Source organism: Homo sapiens, chromosome 14 (genome assembly GCF_000001405.40).
Source record: "Homo sapiens chromosome 14, GRCh38.p14 Primary Assembly".
In the NCBI taxonomy this organism is placed as follows: Eukaryota; Metazoa; Chordata; class Mammalia; order Primates; family Hominidae; genus Homo; species Homo sapiens.
Window position 1 is genome coordinate 58187304 of NC_000014.9, and position 23312 is coordinate 58210615.

Below are 23312 nucleotides of genomic sequence, written 5' to 3' on the forward strand. Positions count from 1 at the left end.
CCCAAAGTGCTGGGATTACAGGCATGAGCCATCACGCCCAGCCCACGCCAACGATTTTTTATACAAAGCTTCTTGGTACTGGAGTTCCAAGTCAGGCATTTGGAACATTGTAAGATGTGACAAGCAAATCTTCTTTCTGGACTACACCACTCCACTAGCTTTGATCACTGCCACATCTCATACACTCAAAAATATCAAAAGTGAAAAATAAGATTTTAGAGCTGATTTGATTTTTATAAAAAACAACTTTGTTGACATATACTTTAAATATCATAAAATTCACCGGTTTTAAACATACAATTCAATGATTTTTAGTAAATTTACCGAGTTATACAACCATCACCATAATCCAGTTTTAGAACATGCCTATAACCCCACTAAGATCCCTAATGTCCACTTAGAATTAATGCCCATTCTCATTCCTGGCCCTAAGAAACTCTACTTTTTATCTGTATAGATTTGCCTTTTGTGGACAGCTCCTATAAATTGAATCATATATTATCTTCTGTATCTGGTGTCTTTCATTCAACATAATGATTTTGACATTCATCCAATGTCGTAGGGTATTTCAGCAGTTTGTTCCTTTTTGTTGCTGAATTGCTGAATAATATTCCATTGTATGGCTGTACCACATTGTCTTTATCCACTTTTCAGTTGAGGAACATATGCTGCTCTGCTTTTGCCTCCACCCTTGTCCCTGAATTACAGGGCATAGACTGACAGTTTTCTCTTTCCCTCTCGTGATGCCTGCTGACAGCGTTAGACAATACGGCAAATTATTTTCCGTAAGGATGTGTGACTAGGCTTTACCAATCTTTAACGACAAGTGAGAATATAGACATCATGGTAAGACTCAATCATTAGAGCAGTGCCTCTGAAATATTTCCAAACGACAGACGACTGTGGCAGAACCCTACATGCCATGGGATATATACCTCACACACTCCCAGTTGTTGCCACTACGGAAAACAGTACCACAAAATAGGAACAACAGCAATGACAATGATGACCACAACAAAACCTCCCGGAAAATAATGGGGAAAATTGGGTTCTTTTAGGTATGCTCTTCTTGGACAACCCCAATGAGAAAAATCACATCAAAATTTCTTATACCAAAATAGTAATGAAAATGTTATCCTGATATAAATATTGGCTGATACACACTGATGCCTATGGACAACAAACAATCCTCTCAGAACATACTTTGAGTACTGCTGTTCTACCCTACATAGTGTACTTGAAGGTAAGGATTATTATAAAGTGAATATATATCCCAACATGTGAGTCAGACTTGTTAGTCACATATTTTGTTTTTTAACCTTAATTTTTAATTTTTTTATTTTTATTATTCTTTTTACTTTTTTAAAAAAAGCTTTAACTTTTTCTTTTGTTGTATTCTTTTTTGATTATATATTTCCAGAGGTGAGTGCATTTTTTAACTTATTTTTAAATACATAAACATATAGATACTAGTGTAATAAACCCCCAAATAGCCATCACCCAGGCCAACAGCCATCAACCTATGGCCCATCTGCCCCATCTGCAAACTCACTAACCTCTCTCTCCACATTATTTTGAAGTAAATCTCAGGCATGATATCATTTTCCCATAAATATTTCATCATGCAATTCTAAAAGAGAGTTCTTTCCTAATAATATAACCATAATACCATTATCACATCTAAAATATTTTAACAGTATTTGCTTAGTACAAAATTTGCAATCAGTGTTTCTGTTACTTGAATTTCTTTCTTGGAGAAATAAACCCTATTGGTAAAATGACCTCTGTCTGATAAGGCCTTTGAAAAGAAGGGCTCAATGCATGTCCTGATAGAGTGTACATGATAACATTTCTTTACATCTAAATCATCTAAGTAATCTTTTCAGGCTGGGATTGAAAGGACTGAAGGGAATATAAAAATAAGCTTGGAAAACGTATGCCATATGGACATTAAAGGATTACTCCCTTCTTTCTGGCTATGAAATGACTAATTAACTATTTGCAGCTGAAATGTGTGGGATCGTTTTCAGAAAATGGAATATCCTTCTCTCACTGAGCATATTGATCAGAGACATAATCTAGACTGTCTGGGAATACTTTTTCTGTAGCAGAACAAATCACACCCTTCAATGCACTGTTTAATTTTAGATATATCTTGTCACATTTATTTAAATGGTTTGGCTCCAGATTTTTTTTTCCCTTTAGGAGTGCCTGATGAACACATGTATAATTTAGCTGTCATTTTTTTTTTTCAGAAGGCAATGTGGGGTAATAGGAAGAGCAAGTCCAAATTTTGTCACACACTAGCAGTATGACCTCATACAAGTTACTTAACCTCTATGAGCAGGAGATTTTTTTCATATGTTGATAAATAAAGATTTGCAAGGATTAACTGAGATACCAGACTTAGCACTCTGCCAGCACACACTAGACAAGAAATCATTGCTGGATGGGCATGGTGGCTCATGCCAGTAATCCTAGCACTTTGGGAGTCTGAGGCGGGCGGACCACTGGAGGCCAGGAGTTTGAGACCAGCCTGGCCAACATGACGAAACCGCGTCTCTACTAAAAATACAAAAATTAGCTGGGAGCGGTGGCACACATCTGTAATCCCAGCTACTCGGGTCACTGAGGCAAGAGAAGCACTTGAACCTGGGACGCGGAGGTTGCAGTGAGCCGAGACTGCACTCCAGCCTGGGCAACAGAGCGAGACTCTGTCACAGAAAGAGAGAGAGAGGGAGAGAGGGACAGGGGGAGAGAGGGAGAGGGGGAGGGAGGGAGGGAAGGAAGGAAGGAGGGAAGGAAGGAAGGAAGGAAGGAGAGAGAAAGAAAGGAAAGAAAGAAGGGAAAGAAAGAAAGAAAGAAAGAAAGAAAGAAAGAAAGAAAGAAAGAAAGAAAGAAAGAAAGAAAGAGAGAAATCATTGCTTTTGTTAACAAAATAGGAATTTTCTATAATAAATATGTATAATTTGGCCAAGCACGGTGGCTCATGCCTGTAATCCCAGAACTTTGGGAGGCCAAGGCGGGTGGATCACTTGAGGTCAGGAGTTACAGACCAGCCTGTCCAACATGGTGAAACCCCATCTCTACTAAAACTATAAAAATTGGCCGGGCACGGTGGCTCACGCCTGTTATCCCAGCACTTTGGGAGATCGAGACCATCCTGGCTAACATGGTGAAACCCCGTCTCTACTAAAAATACAAAAAAATTAGCCAGGCGTGGTGGTGGGCGCCTGTAGTCCCAGCTACTCGGGAGGCTGAGGCAGGAGAATGGCGTGAACCCAGGTGGCGGAGCTTGCAGTGAGCAGAGATAGCGCTACTGCACTCCAGCCTGGGCGACAGAGCGAGACTCTGTCTCAAAAAAAAAAAAAAAATTAGCTGGGCGTGGTGGCACACGCTTGTAATCCCAGCTACTCAGGAGGCTGAGGCAGGAGAATCACTTGAACCCAGGAGGCAGAGGTTGCAGTGAGCTGAGATTGCGCCACTGCACTCCAACCTGGGCAACAAAGCCAGACTCCCTCTCAAAAAAAGTGTAATTTATTAAAAGTTCCCTATCAATAGATTTTTTTCTTTAACAGTATGTCCTACTGATGCCTCAACAAGACCATAATGTTACTATGCATGGGTCAAATATCTAAGGAATAATGTTCTTTCCATCATTGCCTTGAATGTAAACAAGAACTTAGAGTAACAGAACTATAATTGACATTCTCAAATCATTCTACTTCTAAACATTTTTTAAAAATCAGATCAACCTAAGCATTTTTATTTATAAAATATCAAACTTACCTGGTTGAGACTAACAGAAGAAAATGACTAGAAAAAACAAAAAAGCCTCATTCTCTCATCTTAGCAACAATATAAAAAAATTAAATCGTTAGGGTCAATTCCACATCTGATGCTGGCCTGAGGTACAAATGTGGAGAAACAAGAAAACTTCCATTTTTGTCCATCCATTGGCAGGCACAGCATGAAAATCATTTATAGTAGAATATTAGTGAAATAGAATGCTAGGTCGTCAGCAAATGAATACTTTATGCTTCATGAATGGTTTATAAAAAGCTTTATTAAATATTTTAGCCAATTTTCTCTCCCTTTACAAGTAGAAATATGTGTGGGTAACTGATTCTGTGATTGATGGTTCAAGATTTTGTCATACCTTGTAGTTGGCAATACATTTTCATTGTCTGGTTCTACAGAAATTAAGAGCCTAATAAATCAGCCTGAATGTGTCCTGACCTTAACATAGTTCCTGGTACTTTTCTCTGGTGAATTACTTCTCTTTCTTAGAAGAGGACACACTACCATAATTCCAGCTGCTTGTGGGCTCTAGCTCATTATTTGGAGTTTTATTACAATGTGTTATAAGCATTCATGAAATGTGGCATGAAATTTTCTTTAAGAGGTTAGCTTCAAAACCACTATTGTGGTCAATCACATAGATGGATAGCTAAATGCTCAGACTCTAAAGTAGTTTCTTACTATCCCTTGCCAATTGGCTGCAAGGTGAGCTGAGAACCGTTCAGCTGATCACATTTTCATGCTACTGTTATCTATTCAAAAAAACTACTAAGTGCCTAGTCCATACTCAGTCCTCTCTAGGTGTTGGCCTGTAAAGTTTGTAATCTCAGAGTGAAGACACAGTAAATAAAGGACTACTTTACAGTAATAGGTGCTAGTCATTTATCAAATATTTATCCAGAACCTACAATGTGCAGGTGCTGTGTTGGGCACTGGGGATACAATAGCAAACTAAGCAGAAAAAGATCCCTGCCCTCCTGGATCTTGTGTTTTAATGTGCTATAATATGCACAGGGCGCTGTGAAAGGCCAGATGAAGATCTAAAGTAGATTAACATAGGCCAGAGGTCAGAGAAGGCTTTTCAAAGGAGGTTATACTTCCGCAGAATTTGGAAAGACAAAAAGGAAAGCAGCTAGATAAAGAAGACATTCTAGGCACAATATAGGAAGTGTGAAGTAGCAGGATACATTTGGGAAACTACTGGTTGGCTGATACAGCAGCTGCTTTATCTGAGAACTGCAGAGTGTCATTGAAATATTTTAAGTGAAGAGTGTCATGATTATGTTTGCATTTTAGAGTGCTCACTCTGCCTGCAGTATAGACAGTGGACTGTGGACAGGCCAGAGACCAATTAAACAGCTGGTGACACATTTCTGATTGCAGAGAGTTAGAATCTACAGGACTTTGCAACTCATTAGGACAGGAAAAGATGGAAGGAGAGGGATCTAGGTGACTCTGGTTATAAAATAAACTTCTAGCAATAAATGCAACTACTTGGGTCACTGATGCTGATGAAAATTCTTCTTCATCAACCAAACATTAGAGGGATTTTATAGCTCATTCAGAAACCTAAGATTAGGTCACCTTCCCAGCCGCTCTGGACCCAAAATCAGTTTCTGAGTTAAAGAAGCTGAGTATTCTTGGAGGCAGTGATCATTAGCTCTGAGGAGGGCTTTGGTGACTAAGAACGAGCAGTTTATCAACATGGGCTCCCAGGACTCATTATTATCTTCATTTAGGTTAGGCAGTACAGTAGGAATGGAGTAAAATAGGCTGTGTATGAGAGAAAAGGACAGAGGCAGCTTAGGGCTTCCATTGTTTCAGCCTGTCCATCATCTATTCCCGTTGCTTCTAAGAAAAATACCCTGGTTTTCTGCTGAGAAACCACATTTCCCCCACTTTTTGTCCTTTAGTTCTCACAGGGCAGAGCCCACCTCAGCAATGGGCAGAAGACCTGGCTGATAAGAGTATCTCATTTTCCTGCTCATGGTTCAAGTATGAACATGGACTGAGGCAGGGCCAGTCAGCACCAGAAGTGCTGGAATTTTAAAAAGAGAAGCTTTCTCTCTTGGATATGGCTATAATGGTTGGTATATATCTGTAATTTCTGGGAGCGACATTGCCCTCACAAGGAGAAAGGCTGCCTGAGAATGAAGCCGACCTAGAGGAAAACAGAAAGATGGAAATATTCTGATCGCACTGTTAGCACAGGATCCAGCCATGCCTGATGCCCCATTCTATTTCAGGATTTTCAGTTAAGCAAGCCAGTTTTGAGTTAGGTTTCTGTTCCATGCAATGGAAGGAGTCCTTTTTTGCCTCACAGATGGCAAGAAGATAATTCTTTTTCCTATATTTTGTGAACTAGTACTATTTTTTTCTACCTTCTCCTTTTTTCTCTTCCCTTTCCTCCTTCTTTTCTCTACACAAGAATATGTGAACTCTTCGAAGGGCAGGAGAGGGTATTAACATTGATCTCCTAGCCACTTACAGCCCAATAGTTTCTCTAGTCCACATCCTGACACCTCATAGGGCAAAGGTCTAATGGGTTATCCTCCCACAATAAGGTTTTTGAGCCAAAATAAACTAGTTATTTCCTTATAATAGACTGTTCTCTAACCCAGAAGATAGTTTCAAAACAAACGATGCCATTAAATACATGTTTTGTTGACTAGTTACTATGACAATCTACTACAAAGAATTGCAATTCTTTGTGTCTGTGCTTCTTCACTGTGTGAATTCACTCCCCTTTCCAACAATTAAATGGAGTCTATTTCCCCACCCTAGAACCTAAGCTGGGCTTGTGACTTCCTTTAACTAATAGCCTGAGACAGAAGTGATGTTGTGTGACTTCCAAGGCTAGGCCTTAAGCAACCTTGCCACTTCAGCTTTCAGGGTTTTGGTATGCTTCTGTTATCAATTAAATAAAACTGGTTTCATGTTCAAGAGGGTAGGAGGTCACAAAGAGAGAGGGGCTTCACTGAAAGCCACCACCATCTGCCAGACACGTGACTGAGGCCTTCTTGGACCAGCCAGTCCCCAGCTGACCTGTTAACTGACTGCAAACACATAAAAGCCTAGCTGACACCATGTGGAATCTAAGAACTACCTGTTTTAGCCCAGCCAAATTATCAAAATCATGAGCAGATAAGTGGTGGTTGCTTTAAGCCACTAAATTTTGGGAAAATTTGTTAGGCAGCAATAGATAACTGACACAACTAGTTATACAAAATGTTGGTTTTAAAATCAGTTTCTGGAGGGACTTCTCCTGTAAGACATGATAGAGTAACAGGGACTCCTACCTAAAACAACTAAAAAACAGGACATAATATATACGAAACAAAGTTTTGCAGATAGGAAGCAATAGGCAGTGCAAGACAGTGATCCCTGACAGAAAGGAAGCAAGTAAGGTAAGCCCTGTGATTGCTTCAGCCTGTTGTCTGGAGGTTCCAGGATGCAACACAGGGAGAGGGAACCCACAGTGCTCCCACTAGGGACAAAGTCATAAATTCAGGAAGGCTAAAGCAGTAGGATTCGCAGAGGACAGTACCAAAGGGACAAAGCTGCAGAAGGAGGAAAGAGCTGCACAAAAAGAGAGAAAGCTTTGGCAATCTGCACAGGGTTCTCCTTGAATTTTTAGCTACATGCATATAAGGAAACTACTCAAGGCTGGGGGAAAAAAGCCACCAGAAAAGCGAAGGCAGATTAATTCCCTGAAGTTCACATACAGCTGGGAAGTGTTTGTGCTCCCACCAACCGCAGTTGAAAACCCTGTAATACCTCGGGCATTAGGTAGAATACTAAAAGAGGGGTCTTACTTCACTAGTGGAGAAAAATTAGCTCTGGCCTAAAGGCTGCTCTGGTCCCACCTACCAAAGCAAGCCCCAAAAGGATAAAACTATTTTTGAGTAACTTGATTGCATTCCAGAACAAAGCTTGAGAATATTCTAAGAAAAAAAAAAAAAAAATCAGTATCTTGACAATGTAAAATTGACACTGTCTGGCATCTAATCAAAACTTAACAGTCATGCAGAAAAGAAAGAAAATATGTCTCATAGCAAGGGGAAAACATAGAAATAGAACCAGAAAGGGCACGGGTGATAGAATTAGCAGACAAGCCCGGTACAGTGGCTCACACCTGTAATCCCAGCACTTTGGGAGGCCGAGGCGAGTGGATCACCTGAGGTCAGGAGTTTGAGACCAGCCTGGCTAACATGGTGAACCCCGTCTACACTAAAAATACAAAAAATTAGCCAGCCATAGTGGCTCATGTCTGTAATCCCAGCTACTCAGGAGACTGAGGCTGGAGAATCACTTGAACCAGGGAGGCGGAGGTTGAAGTAAGCCAAGATTGTGCCACTGCACTCCAGCCTAGAAGACAGAGGAAGACTCCATCTCAAAAAAAAAAAAAAAAAAAAAAAGAATTAGTAGACAAGAACATTAAAATAATTATATTTATAGTCATACATTCAAGAAGGTAGAGGAAAACACAAGCATGTTTCAGGAAAGACATAGAAGATACAAAGAGTGTCTGGGCGCAGATTACACCTGTAACCCCGGCACTTTGGGAGGCTGAGATGGGTGGATTGCTTGAGCCCAGAAGCTCGAGACCAGCCTAGGCAACATGGCAAAATCCTGTCTCTCCAAAACAAACAAACAAAAAAGAGCTGGGCATGGTGGTATGTGCCTGTAGTCCCAGCTATTTGGGTGGCTGAGGTGGAAAGATCACTTGAGCTCAGGAGGCAGAAGTTGCAATGGGGAGATCACACCACTACACTCCAGCCTGGGTGACAGAGCAAAACTCTGTCTAGAAAAAAAAAAGATACAAAGAAAAAGACCTAAATTGAACTTCTAGAAGTTAAAGATACAATTTTGAGGTGAAAAATACACTGGATGGGATTAATAGCAGATTAAATGCTGCAAAAGAGAAGATCAATAGACATGAAGACAAAACAGTAGAAACTATACAAAAAGAAACACAGAGGAAAAAATATAAGTGAGAAAAAGAAAAAAGAACAAAGAGTCAGTGAGCTACGAGAAAGCTTTAAACCACCTAATAACATATGTACTTGGACTACCCAAAGGAGAAGAGTCAGTATAGAAAAATTACTTGAAGAAACAAAGGTCAAAATATTCCAAATTTGATGAAAACTATAAAACCACAGGTCCAAGTTCACTTAATCCCAAACAAAAGAAACATGAAGAATATAATGTCAAGGCACCTGAAAAGACATTCCCACCAGTGCCACAACAGTTACAAATGCCATGGCAACATCAGGAAGTTACCCTATGTAGTCTAAAAGGGGGAGAAACCCTCAGTTCCAGGAATTGCTCAACCCTTTCCCAGAAAATCCATGAATAATCCACCCCTTGTTTAGCATATAATCAAGAAGTAATGATAAGTATAAGCAGTTAAGCAGCTCACGCTGCTGCTCTGCCTATGAGTAGCCATTCTTTTATTCCTTTACTTTCTTAATAAACTTGTTTTCATTTTACTCTATGGACTTGCCCCGAACTATTTCTTGTGCGAGGTCTAAGAACACTTTTGGGGTCTGGATTGAGACCCCTTTCTAGTAACAATAACACTTAACTCATAAAGTTGCTGTGAGGAATAAATGGGATCATATATAGCAAGGAGAGCTAGCAAATAGAACTCAACAAATATTATCTCTAGCTGTATCTATGGGAGTGGAAGAGATTGGCAAAGGAGAGGGTGTACAATAAGAAAAGAGGTTCAAGAGCAGAACCATGGAGAACAACAACATTTAGGTTGTGTACTGGGTTGAATAGTGTCCTCCCCAAAATTCGTGTGAACAGAAATCTTAGAATGTGACTATATTTGGAATTAGATCCTTTGCAAATGTAATCAAGTTAAGATGAAGTCATACTGGGTTAAGATGGACCCTGAGCCAGTAACTGATATCCTCAGAAGAAGAGGGAGGCCGGGCACAGAGGCTCATGCCTGTAATCCCAGCACTTTGGGAGGCCGAGGCGGGCGGGTCACTTGAAGTCAGGAGTCGAGACCAGCCTGGCCAACATGGCAAAATCCCATCTCTACTAAAAATACAAAAAATTAGCCAGGCATGGTGGCAGGTGCCTGTAATCCCAGCTACTTGGGAGGCTGAGGCAGGAGAATTGCTTGAACCTAGGTGGCAGAGGTTGCAGTGAGCTGAGATCGCGCCACTGCACTCCAGCCTGGGCGACAAGAGTGAAACTCCGTCTCAAAAAAAATAAAAATAAAAATAAACAAGAAGAGGGAAATTTGTTCAGCCGAATACAGAAAAAATAAAAAAGAAAACAATTAAGAAAAAAGGAGGGAAATCTGGACACAGAGACACACACAGAAGGAAAGTGATGTGAAGACACAGGGAGGAGTACATAATGTGAAAAATGCAGACACAGCGAAGAAGGCCAAGTGATGACAGAGGCAGAGATTGGAGTTATGTATCTACAAGCAAAGGCACATCAAAGATTGCCAGCAACCACCAGAAGCTAGGAAAAGGCAAGAAAGAAGGCCAGGCACGGTGGCTCATGCCTGTTATCTCAGCACTTTGGGAGGCTTAGGAAGGCGGATCACCGGAGCTCAGTAGTTTAAGACCAGCCTGGGCAACACGGTGAAACCCATCTCTACAAAAGATGTTAAAATTAGCCACGCAAGGTGGCACATGCCTGCAGTCCCAGCTACTTGGGAAGGTGAGGCAGGAGAATTGCTTGAGCCCAGTCTGGGGTTCAGTGAGCCAAGGTTGCACCACTGCACTCCAGCCTGGATGACAGAACGAGACTCTGTTAAAAAAAAAAAAAAAAAAAAAAAAAGCTGGGCGCGGTGTAATCCCAGCACTTCGAGAGGCCAAGGCAGGCAGATCACCTGAGGTTAGGAGTTCGAGACCAGCCTGGCCAACATGGTGAAACCCTATCTTTACTAAAAATCCAAAACAAACAAAAAAAAATAGTTGGGCGTGGTGGCAGGTGCCTGTAATCCCGGCTGCTCCAGAGGCTGAGGCAGAAGAATCACTTGAACCTGGTGGGGCGGAGGCTGCAGTGAGCTGAGATCGAACCTGGGTGACAGAGCGAGACTCCATCTCAAAAAAAGAAAAAAAAAAAAAGACAAGAAAGGATCCTCCTCAAGAGCCTTCAAAGAGGGCATGACCTTGCTCTTGCTGACACCTTGATTTCTGACTTCTCACCTCCAGAAGTGTGAAAGAATAAATTTTTTGTTTCCTTGAACCACCGTTTGTGGTACTTTGTTACGGCAGTCCCTAGCTAACAAATACAGCTGGTGAGCTGTCATGGAAAACATAGAATAGGTAATAACAAACTTCATCATTTCAATAGTTTCAGAAACATAATTTCAAATTGATCCTTACAAATACCTTGTGAAGCAGCAGAACAGTTTACAGATAAGGAAGTGGACGATCAGAGGTATTAGGGACTTGACAGAAAGTGGCAGAAACAGAATCTGAACTCAAGTAAGGGGTCCTATTCAAATAATCTGACTCTATTAAGCAAAAAATTTAATCTCTTCCCACGTTTCTTAAAGTTTTCTTCCCCGTCACAACTCCAACTTCATTCTCCTGTCTCCAGGAATTTGCTTTCAAGGAGGATCATTGATCAGTAATTTGGACTTAAACATGAATTTTACTAATATCACATTCCAAATTTCTGCATTGTTACAGCCTTAGTTTTTGTTATGGAAATAGCTTATCCCCAACTACCCCGCTAACTCTAGTTACCAACCATTAGAGTAGGGCCTTTTTTTTTTTTTTTTTTTTTTTTGAGAGACAGGCTCTCACTCTTGTTGTTGCCCAGGCTGGAGTGCAGCGGCACAATCCCGACTCACTGCCGCTTTAGACTTCTTGGGCTCAAGGGATCCTCCCGCTTCGGCCTCCCAAAGTGCTGGGATTACAGGTGTGATCCTGCGCTCGGACAGTTGGGACATCTTAATACAGTATAACCTCATCTTAACTTGATTACATCTGCCAAGACTCTATTTCCAAATAGGGTCACATTCTGAGGTTCCCAGTGGACAAGAATTTTGGGGGGGGGGGCATCATTCAACCCAGTACACCAGCTAAATGTTGCTAGTCCTCACCGATTTACCCTTGAACCTCTTTTCTTATTGCACAGCCTCTCCTTTGACAGTCTTTTCCACTCCTATGCATAGATACAGTTAGAGCTAATATTTGCAGGAAAAAAATATTTTCACAGAAAGCTGTGAAGTGACAAAGATGTAAACAGTAATGTAAATGTTAAAAGTAGTGGCAAAAACAGCAATTACTTTTGCACCAACCTAATAGGGGCCTTTGCTTCAATGTTTCTTCTATTAAACCATCCCGACCGCTCCTCTATGGACAGATTCAAGATTCACAGACGCTACTCTAGCTGCTTAATTCTGGAGTAAAATAAAAACTTTCAGAAAGACTACTAACTAAAGTATTGTCTGTACGTATTATTCTCTAAAGCATCATTAGCATAGGCTTTGCAATTAGGAAGTCTGTGGGTTTGTTCCTGGCTCTGCCGTGGGACATTGGGAAAGTTAATCTCTCTGAGCGTCGGTCCCCACAGATAAGAAAACACATATTCTTGTTATTTCTTGAGAAGATTAAATATTAGGCAAAACGCCTAGCACAGAATAGGGTCTCAGCATCTTCTGCCCCCCAAGAGCATGAATCAAAGGTTCGGAATTGCGTCGTCTCTCGGCTGCCCCTTGGCAGCCAGGTCCTCAGTGACCTCTTCACAGTGAGCTGAGACCGAACCTCTTCACAGCCGCGCGTGGGTGCGGCTTTGGGGCGTGGTGGGAGGGAAGGATAGGGAGGCCGGCTCCGCCCCCTCAGGGCGACCGGCGCGCCTGATCGCCGCGGCCTCCGCGCCCCCGCACTCGGATTCGCGCCCGCCAGCGCCTCTTTTCCCCTAGTCCTGGCGACGGCAGCACCTGCAAGGGTGGGTCCAACGCGGAATGAGGCACAGCCTGGGACAGCCCGGGCCCGGCGCGCCGCGGCCGCGCGAGGCCCCCGCCGTCGCCGACGCCCGAGCGCCGGAGCCCCGGCCCCGCCCCGCGAGCGCCGAGACTTGTTGGCCGCGGAGACTGCGACCCTCTTCTCTCAGTCTGCCTTACTACCATGCCGCTCTACGAGGGCCTGGGGAGCGGCGGGGAGAAGACGGCGGTCGTGATCGACCTGGGAGAGGCCTTTACCAAGTGAGTGGCCGTGACGCCAGCTGTGTTCGACCCGAGGGGAGGGCGGGTGGCAGAGCCCCAGGCACTGCCTGGGTCCTCATCGCCGACTCGCTGGGCAGCTCCGGGCCTCCCCTTTTCTTCAACCAGCGCCCTTGCAAATAACAGCTCTTATTATTTCCTCCCTGGGCGATGCGAATCCGAGGATCGGGGTCTGACTCCCAGAGAGGCCCAGAAAGCTTCTGTTGAATTGCCCTCGTCGCCGCCCCTTGTCATCACCCCAAACCCAACAAACCCTTTGGGATCATCTGTGTAGGGGATGACAACCGTGACCTAGACCCCGCTTACCCTGGGCTCCTCAGTTGAGGAAGGCAGCCAACCGAATGTAAATGCTCGATGACGAATTTCATCATAAAATATTGAACGGAGTTTATTTTGGTGCTGAAAATGGAAAGATGTTTAAGACAGGGCTATCGCTGCTCAAGAATTAGGGAGACTGGGCACATTAAGAGGTGAAACCCTATAGATAAGATTCTGGAAATCCTTTGTTGGCTCCCCTAAACTCGAAGGTTAGATTTGACATGTTTTAAACAAACCAACTTGTAAACAATAGAGAGGAGGTTCTCAACCTTTCGGATGGCATAGATCTCTTTAATGGCTGGATGAAAACCACAAATGCACAAATCTTAAGGTACTTATACACAGTTTCAGGGAATTGGCAGACAATCAATGTGGTCCTGGGACCCTAGATTAAGAGTCCTTGTGATGGGCTCAACAGAGAGGGAAGTAACAGGCAATTACATCATATATGTATTTATGAAAATGAAACATTTGAAAAATCTTTTTATATCTCTAGGCACTTCCTGACGTGTAGTAGGTATTTAATAACTATTTATTGACTAAGTGGTTAAAAGAGCCTATTTAAAAATTGGACCCCAGGAACTCCAGAATTGGATTAAACATAGTCCTTGGTTAATGACATTCTCTTATTGTTCTATGCGAGGCCCTTCCTTATTTATATTTTCTTATTAAAATTATTTTGAAAGCGTAATAAACAGTTCGAGGCTTCTAGTCAAAGATAATTATTTTGGCTGTACTTGGAAGAAATAAGCAAAAAGCTATATTTGAAAAAGACAGCAGGAGGATGATAAGATAAATGTATGAAGTAAAAAAAAGGAATTGAAGTCTAATGGCTTGCATTCTGAGATGTTTGAGGAGCACTGATGCAAGTAAACATGGAGACGGGAATAGGAGGAGATGGAGAGAATTATTTGGGAATACGAGGAGAGCAGTATCAAAAACTAGACAGGACAAGAAGACAGGATGTTAAGACTAAACTAGTATGATGATCATTTTTAGCAACGTTTTTAGCAAATTTTTGTTTTACTAACATGAAACAAAAATGGAAATACCTAAATACTCAAGAAAAGAGCATCGTTTTTAAAATAATGAAATATGTGGTTTTAAAAATAATACTGTAATTCCAGCAGTTTGGAAAGCTGAGGCGGGCTGACCACTTGAGCCCAGTAGTTCAAGACCAGCCTGGGCAACATGGGGAAACCCAGCTCTACACAAAATACAAAATTTAGCCGGCGGTAGTGTCGTGCCCGAAATCCTAGCACTTTGGGAGGCCAAGGGGGGAGGATCGCTTGAGCCTGGGAAGCGGAGGCTGCAGTGATCTGAGTTTGTGCCACTGCACTCCAGCCTGGGCGACAGAGCGAGACCCTGCCTCAAAAAAAAAAAAAAAAAAAGTGATAGCAATGAAGATTATGTTAATATGGGCAGAAGCTTACTGTATGAGTTAATTATGTATGAAGTGTGATTAAAACTATGTCAAATATATATGCATAATCATAAGAAGTAGACTGAAAGTGAATACACCAATATGGAAGCTAACAATATTAGAATGATGGAATTATGAGTGATACAGATGAATTATATGAATGAAGTCACATAATGTAGTACAGATTCAGAGTTGTAGATATGTCTTGCCTAAATTCTGCTAAAATTAACAACTAGGAAAAAAGTTGGCCAGGCGCGGTGGCCCACGCCTGTAATACCAGCACTTTGGGAGGCCGACGCGGGCGGGTCACGAGGTCAGGAGATCGAGACTATCCTGGCTAACACGGTGAAACCTCGTCTCTACTAAAAAAAAAAAAAAAAATTAGCCCTGCGTGGTGGCCGGCACCTGTAGTCCCAGCTACTCAGGAGCCTGAGGCAGGAGAATGGCGTGAACCCGGGAGGCGGAGCTTGCAGTGAGCCGAGATCGCGCCACTGCACTCCAGCCTGGGTGACAGAGCCAGACTCCATCTCAAAAAAAAAAAAGTAAATGCTGCCCTAAAATAATACATTTGTTTTTTTCAGCATCACGAATTTCATAGAATTTTTTTCTGTTAATACACAAGCATTAATAAATAGTATTATTAGTTTTGTGGAGTGATTTTTTTTGATCCCTTAAAATACATCAGGTATTTTCAAATGTTATTGTGGCCATTGTTTTGAAACAAATACAGAGAAAATTAGTTTCTGTGACAAATATTTAAAAGAATACTATAAGTTGTTTCAATTTTCCATTTATTTGCAGGTGTGGATTTGCTGGAGAAACTGGTCCAAGATGTATAATTCCTAGTGTGATAAAAAGAGCTGGGATGCCTAAGGTATTTAAAAAAAAATATTAGCAAAATAAATGCCATACTATAAAATGTTTTAAAATATGACTTCAAGTAAGATTGATTAAAACAGTACTAAAGGCCAGCCGTGGTGGCTCACGCCTGTAATCCCAACACTTTGGGTGGCTGAGGCGGGTGGATCACCTGAGATCAGGAGTTTGAGACCAGCCTGGACAACATGGTGAAACCCTGTCTCAACTAAAAATACAAAAATTAGCCGGGAGTGGTGGCAGGCACCTCTAATCCCAGCTCCTCAGGGGGCCGAGGCAGGAGAATTGCTTGAACCCGGGAGGCGGAGGTTGCAGTGAGCCAAAATCAAGCCATCGCACTCCAGCCTGGGGGGCAAGAGCAAGACTTCGTCTCAAAAAAAAAAAAAAAAAAAGAAACAAGAAACAGTACTAAATATATACTTTGTGGCTATATTTCCAAGGAAAAGTTTTTCTTTTTAAATCAACTTTATCAAGGTCTAATTTTGCACACCATAAGTATATCATGTTGTACAAGTACCACCACAATCCAGTTTTAGAATGTTTTCATCACCCCAGTAAAATCCCTAATACCCGTTTACAATTAATCCTCATTCCTATCCTCAGCCCATTAGGGTGTACCTTCTGTTTCTATAGATTTGTCTTTTCTGTACATTTTATGTAAATGGAATCATATATCAAGAGAAAAATTTTAACTTCAGTAAAATACTTTTATAAGTCTTATAACCACTGAATTATTTTATTATTTATAATATATCAGATATTTATTCCCTTATTTACAGTTTCAAAACCCAGAGAATTTTGAAAACAAACTTTCAAAAAGTTTCTTGCCACAGCTAATTTGGCAGATTAGAAATTACAACCAGTAGAAAGAATGATTTTGCATGTTATAAAATTCACTTGTTAAAAAATGAGATGTAGCTGTTACCACAGTAACATTATATATGCATTCCAGAAAATACCTTTGTTCTGCAAAATGGTACATTTTTAAAAAACAAAACAAAACAGGCTTATGGGAAAAATAAGCTTGAGGTAGTCCATATAAAACCTGTGTAACTTTGTAATCAGAGGACTAGCAAAAACAATAATTGATGCCTCCACAAAATTTAAATAGGATTGGCAGGCAGCTGAGTGTGGCTGGAGGCTGTCTTAGGGAATATTAAAAATAAAATTGTGGGCTGGGCAGATTACACGCCTGTAATCGCAGCACTTTGGGAGGCCGAGGCGGGCAGATCACGAGGTCAGGAGATCGAGACCATCCTGGCTAACACAGTGAAAACCCATCTCTACTAAAAAAAAAAAAAAAAATTAGCCAGGCATGGTGGCAGGCACTGGTATTCCCAGCTACTTGGGAGGCTGAGGCAGGAGAATGGCGTGAACTCGGGAGGCGAAGCTTGCAGTGAGCCGAGATTGCGCCACTGCACTCCAGCCTGGGCGACAGAGCGAGACTCCATCTCAAAAAAATAAAATAAAATAAAATCGTGGAGGTGGTGCGCACCTGTAGTCCCCAGCTACTTGGGAGGCCGAAGTGGGAGGATCACTTGAGCCCAGGAGGTTGAGGCTGCAGTGAGCCAAGATTGCACCACTGCATTCCACCATGGGCGACAGAGTGAGACCCTGTCTCAAAAATAAACAAATAAAAATAAAAGTCATGGATTGAAAATGTTAGCCAGTGGGTTCTGAGTCAGTGCAGATGGTAGCAAGCTCTGAGCCAGTGGGACTGTTATTAAGTAGCAACTAGGAGGAAATGCAACCCAACAGAGTCATGGATCCACTCTGAGGCACGAATTGCTGGTGTAGGGAGTTATTTACACTTTTCTTATGAATAGATCTGAAAGCATATCTACCTGTGTGATAACTGAGTTGATGACTTTCTTTTTCTTGATGAAAGTTATACTTCCATTATAATTATAGCTTGTCTTGCCTAATATTAACTAATACAACTATAACATTTTTCTGACATTATTTCCTTTTTTAGCAATCGCATATAAGCATATTTGGTTTTATAAAAACACATGTTGGCCAGATGCGGTGGCTCACTCCCAGCACTTTGGGAGGCTGAGGCAGGTGGATCACCTGAGGTCAGGAGTTCCAGACCAGCCTAACCAACAAGGAGAAACCCTATCTCTACTAAATATACAAAATTAGCCGGGCATGGTGGCACATGCCTGTTAATCCCAGCTACTCAGGAGGCTGAGGCAGGAGAATCACTTGAACCCGGGAGGTGGAGGTTGTGGTGAGCTGAGATTGTGCCATTGCACTCCAGTCTGGGCAACAAGAGCGAAACTCCATCTCAAAAAAAACAAAAACAAAAACAAAAAAAAACATGTTATAGCAGAATAGACGAGACCAGCAGTTTATATTTGGCATTTACATACATCAGAAATCTTTTTTTTTTTTTTTTTTGAGGCGGAGTCTTGCTCTGTCGCCCAGGCTGGAGTGCAGTAGCATGATCTGGGCTCACTACAAGCCCCACCTCCCGGGTTCATGCCATTCTCCTGCCTCAGCCTCCCGAGTAGCTGGGACTACAGTTGCCCGCCGCCACGCCCAGCTAATTTTTTGTATTTTTTAGTAGAGACGGGGTTTCACCGTGTTAGCCAGAATGGTCTGTATCTCCTGACCTCGTGATCCGCCCGCCTTGGCTTCCCAAAGTGCTGGGGTTACAGGTGTGAGCCACTGCGCTCGGCCCAGAAATCTTTTTAATTACACTTGATTAAGGAATCATTTCATTGATTTTAAATTTTTCTGCAAATCCTTGGACAAGCCAGAAATATGGTAGATATTGGTGGTTTGATGTTCAAAAATGTGATGGAAGCCGGGTGTGGTCTCTCATGCCTGTAATCCCAGCACTTTGGGAGGCTGAGGTGGCCAGATCACTTGAGGCCAGGAGTTTGAGACTAGCCTGGCCAACTTGGTGAAACCCCATCTCTACTAAAAATACAAATATTAGCCAGGTGTAGTGGCAGGCACCTGTGGTCCCAGCTACTCGGGAGGCTGAGGCAGGAGAATCGCTTGAATCTGGGAGGCGGAGGTGGCAGTGAGCTGAGATCATGCCACTGTGCTGCAGCCTGGGCAACAGAGGGAGACTCCATGTCAAAAAAAACGGGGGCGGGGGATGGAAGTTCCTGTTTACTAATTTTTCATGTCATTTTGCTTTATAACAATTGGCATTACTGTGTTACCAGATAGATTTCTTACTGGATTAGACCCTGTACGTTTTTGTTGCCACTTTCCTTGGTGCTTTGAGCTTTTATCTTTTTTTTTTTTGAGATGGAGTCTCACTCCATCACCCAGGCAGGAGTGCAGTATCATGATCTCTGCTCACTGCCACCTCCTCCTCTCGGGTTCAAGCCATTCTCCTCTCTCAGCCTCCCAAGTAGCTGGAATTACAGGCGCCCTCCACCACACCCAGCTAATTTTTTTTTTTTGTATTTTTAGTAGAGACGGGGTTTCGCCGTGTTGGCCAGCCTGGTCTCAAACTCCTGACCTCAGGTGATCCACCCGCCTTGACCTCCCAAAGTGTTGGGATTACAGGCATGAGCCACTGCGCCCGAACGAGTTTTTATCTTCATTTGAAAAGACAGATACCTAAAAAATTATTTATATTTGATTATATATGGTTTGGAATCTTCTTTAAGCCACATAAAATCAAGAAATTAGGCTGATGGTACTTCTTTTGAAAGAGTAAATGAAGAGAGGTCTGCCAATGATGCATCAGAGTACTGAGAGCTTTCTGAGGATCATAAGTGAAGCCATTGTTATATATTAGCATTGACTTAGCACTCATGGCTTGGTAATATGTGTGTAGGCTGCTTTTGTGCTAATGGTGTTTGTTGTCATTTTTATCACACATATTTATGAACAACCACAACTATGTACCTGGAACTGTATTATTTGAAGAAAGATATATCATAAGCAAGCCAGAAATAGTTCTTGTGCATAGAGCTTATAATCTAGCAGAAAGGGGGACATTTTACAAGTAATTCAGTGTGGCGATGTTGCAAAAGAGAAGATATCAGTGTTTTTGGACTAACAGGGACTGAACCAAGTTGAGTATTTGAGGAAGCCTTTGATGCTTTTTATTCAATGCTGAATTTTTTTTTTTTTTTTTTTTTGAGACAGGTTCTCACTCTGTCACCCAGGCTGGAGTGCAGTGGCACGATCTTGGCTCACTGCAACCTCTGCCTCCCTGCAACCTCCACCTCCTGGGTTCAAGCAGTTCTCCCACTTCAGCCTCCTGAGTAGCTGGGACTACAGGTGCACGCCACCACGCCTAGCTAATTTTTGTATTTTTAGTAGAGATAGGGTTTCACCATGTTGGCCAGGCTGGTCTTGAACTCCTAGCTTCAGGTGATCCACCTGCCTCGGCCTCCCAAAGTGCTGGAAATTTGTTTGTTTGTTTGTTTGTTTGTTTTTTGAGACGGAATCTGGTTCTGTTGCCCAGGCTAGAGAGCAGTGGAGCCATCTCAGCTCACTGCAGCCTCCTCCAGGGTTTTCAAGTGATTCTCCTGCCTCAGTCTCCAGAGTAGCTGGGACTATAGGCACACACCACCACGCCTGGCTAATTTTTGTATTTTAAGTAGAGACAGCGTTTCACCATGTTGGCCAGCCTGGTCTCGAACTCCTGACCTCAAGTGATCCATCCACCTCGGCCTCCCAAAGTGCTGGGATTACAGGCATGAGCCACCACACCTGGCCTCAAAGCTGATTTTTATCATTCAAGCCAAAATGATAAGTCAGATGGAGGAAAAATGCATGTGAGCCATGCTCTTTACTTCCTATGAACACACACTTCCATTACCACAGACTAAAACATTCTGCCATCTTAGACATTCCGATTCTTAAGGATTCCTAATTTAAGAGATTACTCTGTATTTAATTTTTATATTCTCAATACAGATTGCTTTTAATTTATTCCCAGAAAATGTATTAGTAAATAATTACATTTTAATCTTAATTTGAGGTTATTTTATTAATATAAATTAATAAATCATTTTAATTTTTTACAGCCTGTCAGAGTTGTTCAGTATAATATCAATACAGAAGAATTATATTCCTACCTAAAGGAATTCATCCACATACTATATTTCAGGTAAGATACATTTTGTTTTCTAGCTTTTATGATTAGATAGATTTTCCTAATGCCATAGTGATAATTGGTTGTGTTACAGCTGAGGCCAAAAAAAAAAAAAATGGACTTCTATTGCCATTTTTACATGCTTATTTTCAACCTTTTCAAAAATATATTTGAAGACTAGAAAACTGGCAGACATAAAGAGATACTGAAAATGAAATATTCATTAATGAAGTGAACTGATAATTAAATTATTCTACATTCATACAGTGAAATACCATGCAGCTCTTTAAAAAGAGTTCTGCATCTGTATGTAGTAGTACAGGAAGGTGTGTGGGATATATTGATAAGTGAAATAAGCAAGTTAAAGAACCACATCTATGGAATGAGTATTTCTGTTAAAACATACCCCCATACATCCATAAGAATGAAAAAAAATACAAACTTCTATCAGTGATAGTTCTGAGTAGTAGAGATATAAGGTTCTTGTACTTTGCAAGTTTTACGTGTCATAATATTTGGAGCTTTGTGAGCATATATTACTATTGTAACCTAAAAAAAAAGAAAATATCGCCAGGTGCTGTGGCTCACATCTGTAGTACCAGCTACTCAGGAGGTTGAGATCAGGGGATGGCTTGAACCCAGGAGGCTGAGGTTGCAGTGAGGTGAGATTGCCCCTCTGCACTCCAACTTGGGCAACAGAGCCAGATCCTGTCTCAAAAAAAAAAAAAAAATCTATATAATGGCTCAAGTTGGTAATCATAGTAGGCTATAATTTTAGGTTTCTGAGATAAGTAAGTTAATGAATTTCCTAGCACACTGCACGGTACATAGTAAGAGGTCAGAAATGTTATCTTTCTGGGGTAATAAAATGAAGATGTCTTTTTGTGATAAAATATCTTAAGCTAAGGTAGTACAGTTTCACTGTTCTTAAATTGTATGACTTAACAAAATGAATAAAAACTTTTACTTTTAAAACCAAAACTTTCACTTTTCAGGCATCTATTGGTGAATCCCAGAGACCGCCGAGTTGTGATTATCGAATCGGTATTATGTCCTTCTCACTTCAGAGAGACACTCACTCGTGTTCTTTTCAAATATTTTGAGGTACCTGTCTTTATATCAAATAAGTAAATTGCTTTTGAAATAAAAAGAGAAGCAATAAAATTCTTACCAATTTTTAGGGAATCTTTCTTCTCTTTTTTTTTGTTGGTAGGTACTCAAAACTTAAACTAATAAAAGCCCTTATTTTGTCTCATATTGTGTATGGCACACAGTGTAGTTGGGGAACCAGATGACAGAAGATTCTTCAAACTGGCCATTTATTTTCTTCCTTTGTGTGGTTATTTCATGCTTTAGCATTTCATCCAACACTTACATAATTGGATATTTCTTTTTATTACTGTTTATTTATTTTAATATAGGTTTTTCTATTTGGGGACTTTTTTTTATTCAGAATTAAAAGGTATATTCTGTGCTGTGGACTTTGCAATGTATTTCTTCCAGATCTTTCTAGCTTCCATTGTTTAGTTGTACTGTTCTGAATTTTGTCATTTTAGGCTTCAAATTCCTTTAAAATGGAATATTCAGTGCCTCCCTTAGAGTAAGTTGGTAATGCCAGGAATGAGACTTACCTCATAATATAAGTAATATTACCTGTAGCTTTGATTTTATAGGAATCAGGATTATTTTATCACCAAGAATATGTTTTAAGATTAGTATATTTCATAGTAGACCAGAATCTTAATTATTCAAATTTTTAAAAATCTTTGCCTTAAAATTTAGGTTTTATCAGCAAGGGAAAATGTAAGATTATATGTATTAAGTGAATAAGAAATTAAGCACATATAAATGTATTTTCATACATTTACTGAATTCAAAACATACCTAATACCAAAAATCACAATGTCTTTATGAGGTAAAGGCACTTAATATTTCTAAGTTATATTTTTGTAAAGCAGGTACAGGGAATCAGGTTGCATAGCCTCCAGTACCTACTGATGTCATGAGTCCAGGAATTTCATTTGTAGTAAGGAGAACATAAAGCAAAACAAGAAGTCGTGTCAGCTGTTATCTGAATAAAGTAGAATATTCTCTGTATTTATAATTAGAGTTTGTGTTAATATCTTCTATATGACTAGAATACCTACTTTATTTAGATAAGGGGAATACAGCCATTATTTTGTCTGCCATTCGATTATGATGGACTGTCATATTTTGATTGAATATCTAGTATTTGAGATGGCACCAGGTTTGGCAAATTCTTACTGAAAAAAATGTTGCACAGAGCCAACTATTTGTATATTTTGTTCTTTGGTTTAATTTTAACTGCCAGTTACAGTTCAATTAGCCGGACGTGGTGGCATGCACCTGTAGTCCCAGCTACTCAGGAGACTAAGGTGGGAGGATTGCTTGAGCCCAGGAGGTCGAGGCTGCAGTGAGCTGTGATTGCACCACTGCAATCCAGCCTGGGCAATGGAGCAAGACTTTGTCTCTAAGTTAAAAATAAAAATTTAAATAAAAAGAAACAGTAAAAATATATAGTTCATATTACAAACTTTGCAAATAAAAACAATGAAGAATTTTTTTTCTCTATTTTCATCTTAATGGTAAAG

General features: G+C 41.0%; 1 protein-coding gene across 4 annotated transcripts in view, besides 3 other annotated features; it reads left to right on the plus strand.

Moving 5' to 3' along the window:
* Positions 12289 to 12418: an enhancer, noted in NCBI's record as "active region_8441". NCBI's record gives its function as "activates an Ori minimal core promoter by ATAC-STARR-seq in GM12878 lymphoblastoid cells {active_cell/tissue: GM12878}" and the evidence as "EXISTENCE:reporter gene assay evidence [ECO:0000049][PMID:35858748]".
* Positions 12489 to 12878: a silencer, noted in NCBI's record as "silent region_5797". NCBI's record gives its function as "represses an Ori minimal core promoter by ATAC-STARR-seq in GM12878 lymphoblastoid cells {active_cell/tissue: GM12878}" and the evidence as "EXISTENCE:reporter gene assay evidence [ECO:0000049][PMID:35858748]".
* ACTR10 (actin related protein 10) overlaps positions 12846 to 23312 on the plus strand; it is a 35488-nt gene continuing 25021 nt past the window's right edge. For 3 of the 4 annotated variants that reach the window (XM_011536960.2, NM_018477.3, XM_011536961.2), the window contains exons 1-4: positions 12846 to 12991; positions 15552 to 15624; positions 20633 to 20715; positions 21696 to 21804. In XM_011536960.2, the coding sequence (XP_011535262.1) occupies positions 12915 to 12991; positions 15552 to 15624; positions 20633 to 20715; positions 21696 to 21804 (342 nt within the window). In that variant the 5' untranslated portion in view covers positions 12846 to 12914. Of the gene's footprint in view, positions 12992 to 15551; positions 15625 to 20632; positions 20716 to 21695; positions 21805 to 23312 lie in introns of those variants that run through there. The other variant, XM_047431587.1, reaches the window with a different exon arrangement.
* Positions 13039 to 13228: an enhancer, noted in NCBI's record as "active region_8442". NCBI's record gives its function as "activates an Ori minimal core promoter by ATAC-STARR-seq in GM12878 lymphoblastoid cells {active_cell/tissue: GM12878}" and the evidence as "EXISTENCE:reporter gene assay evidence [ECO:0000049][PMID:35858748]".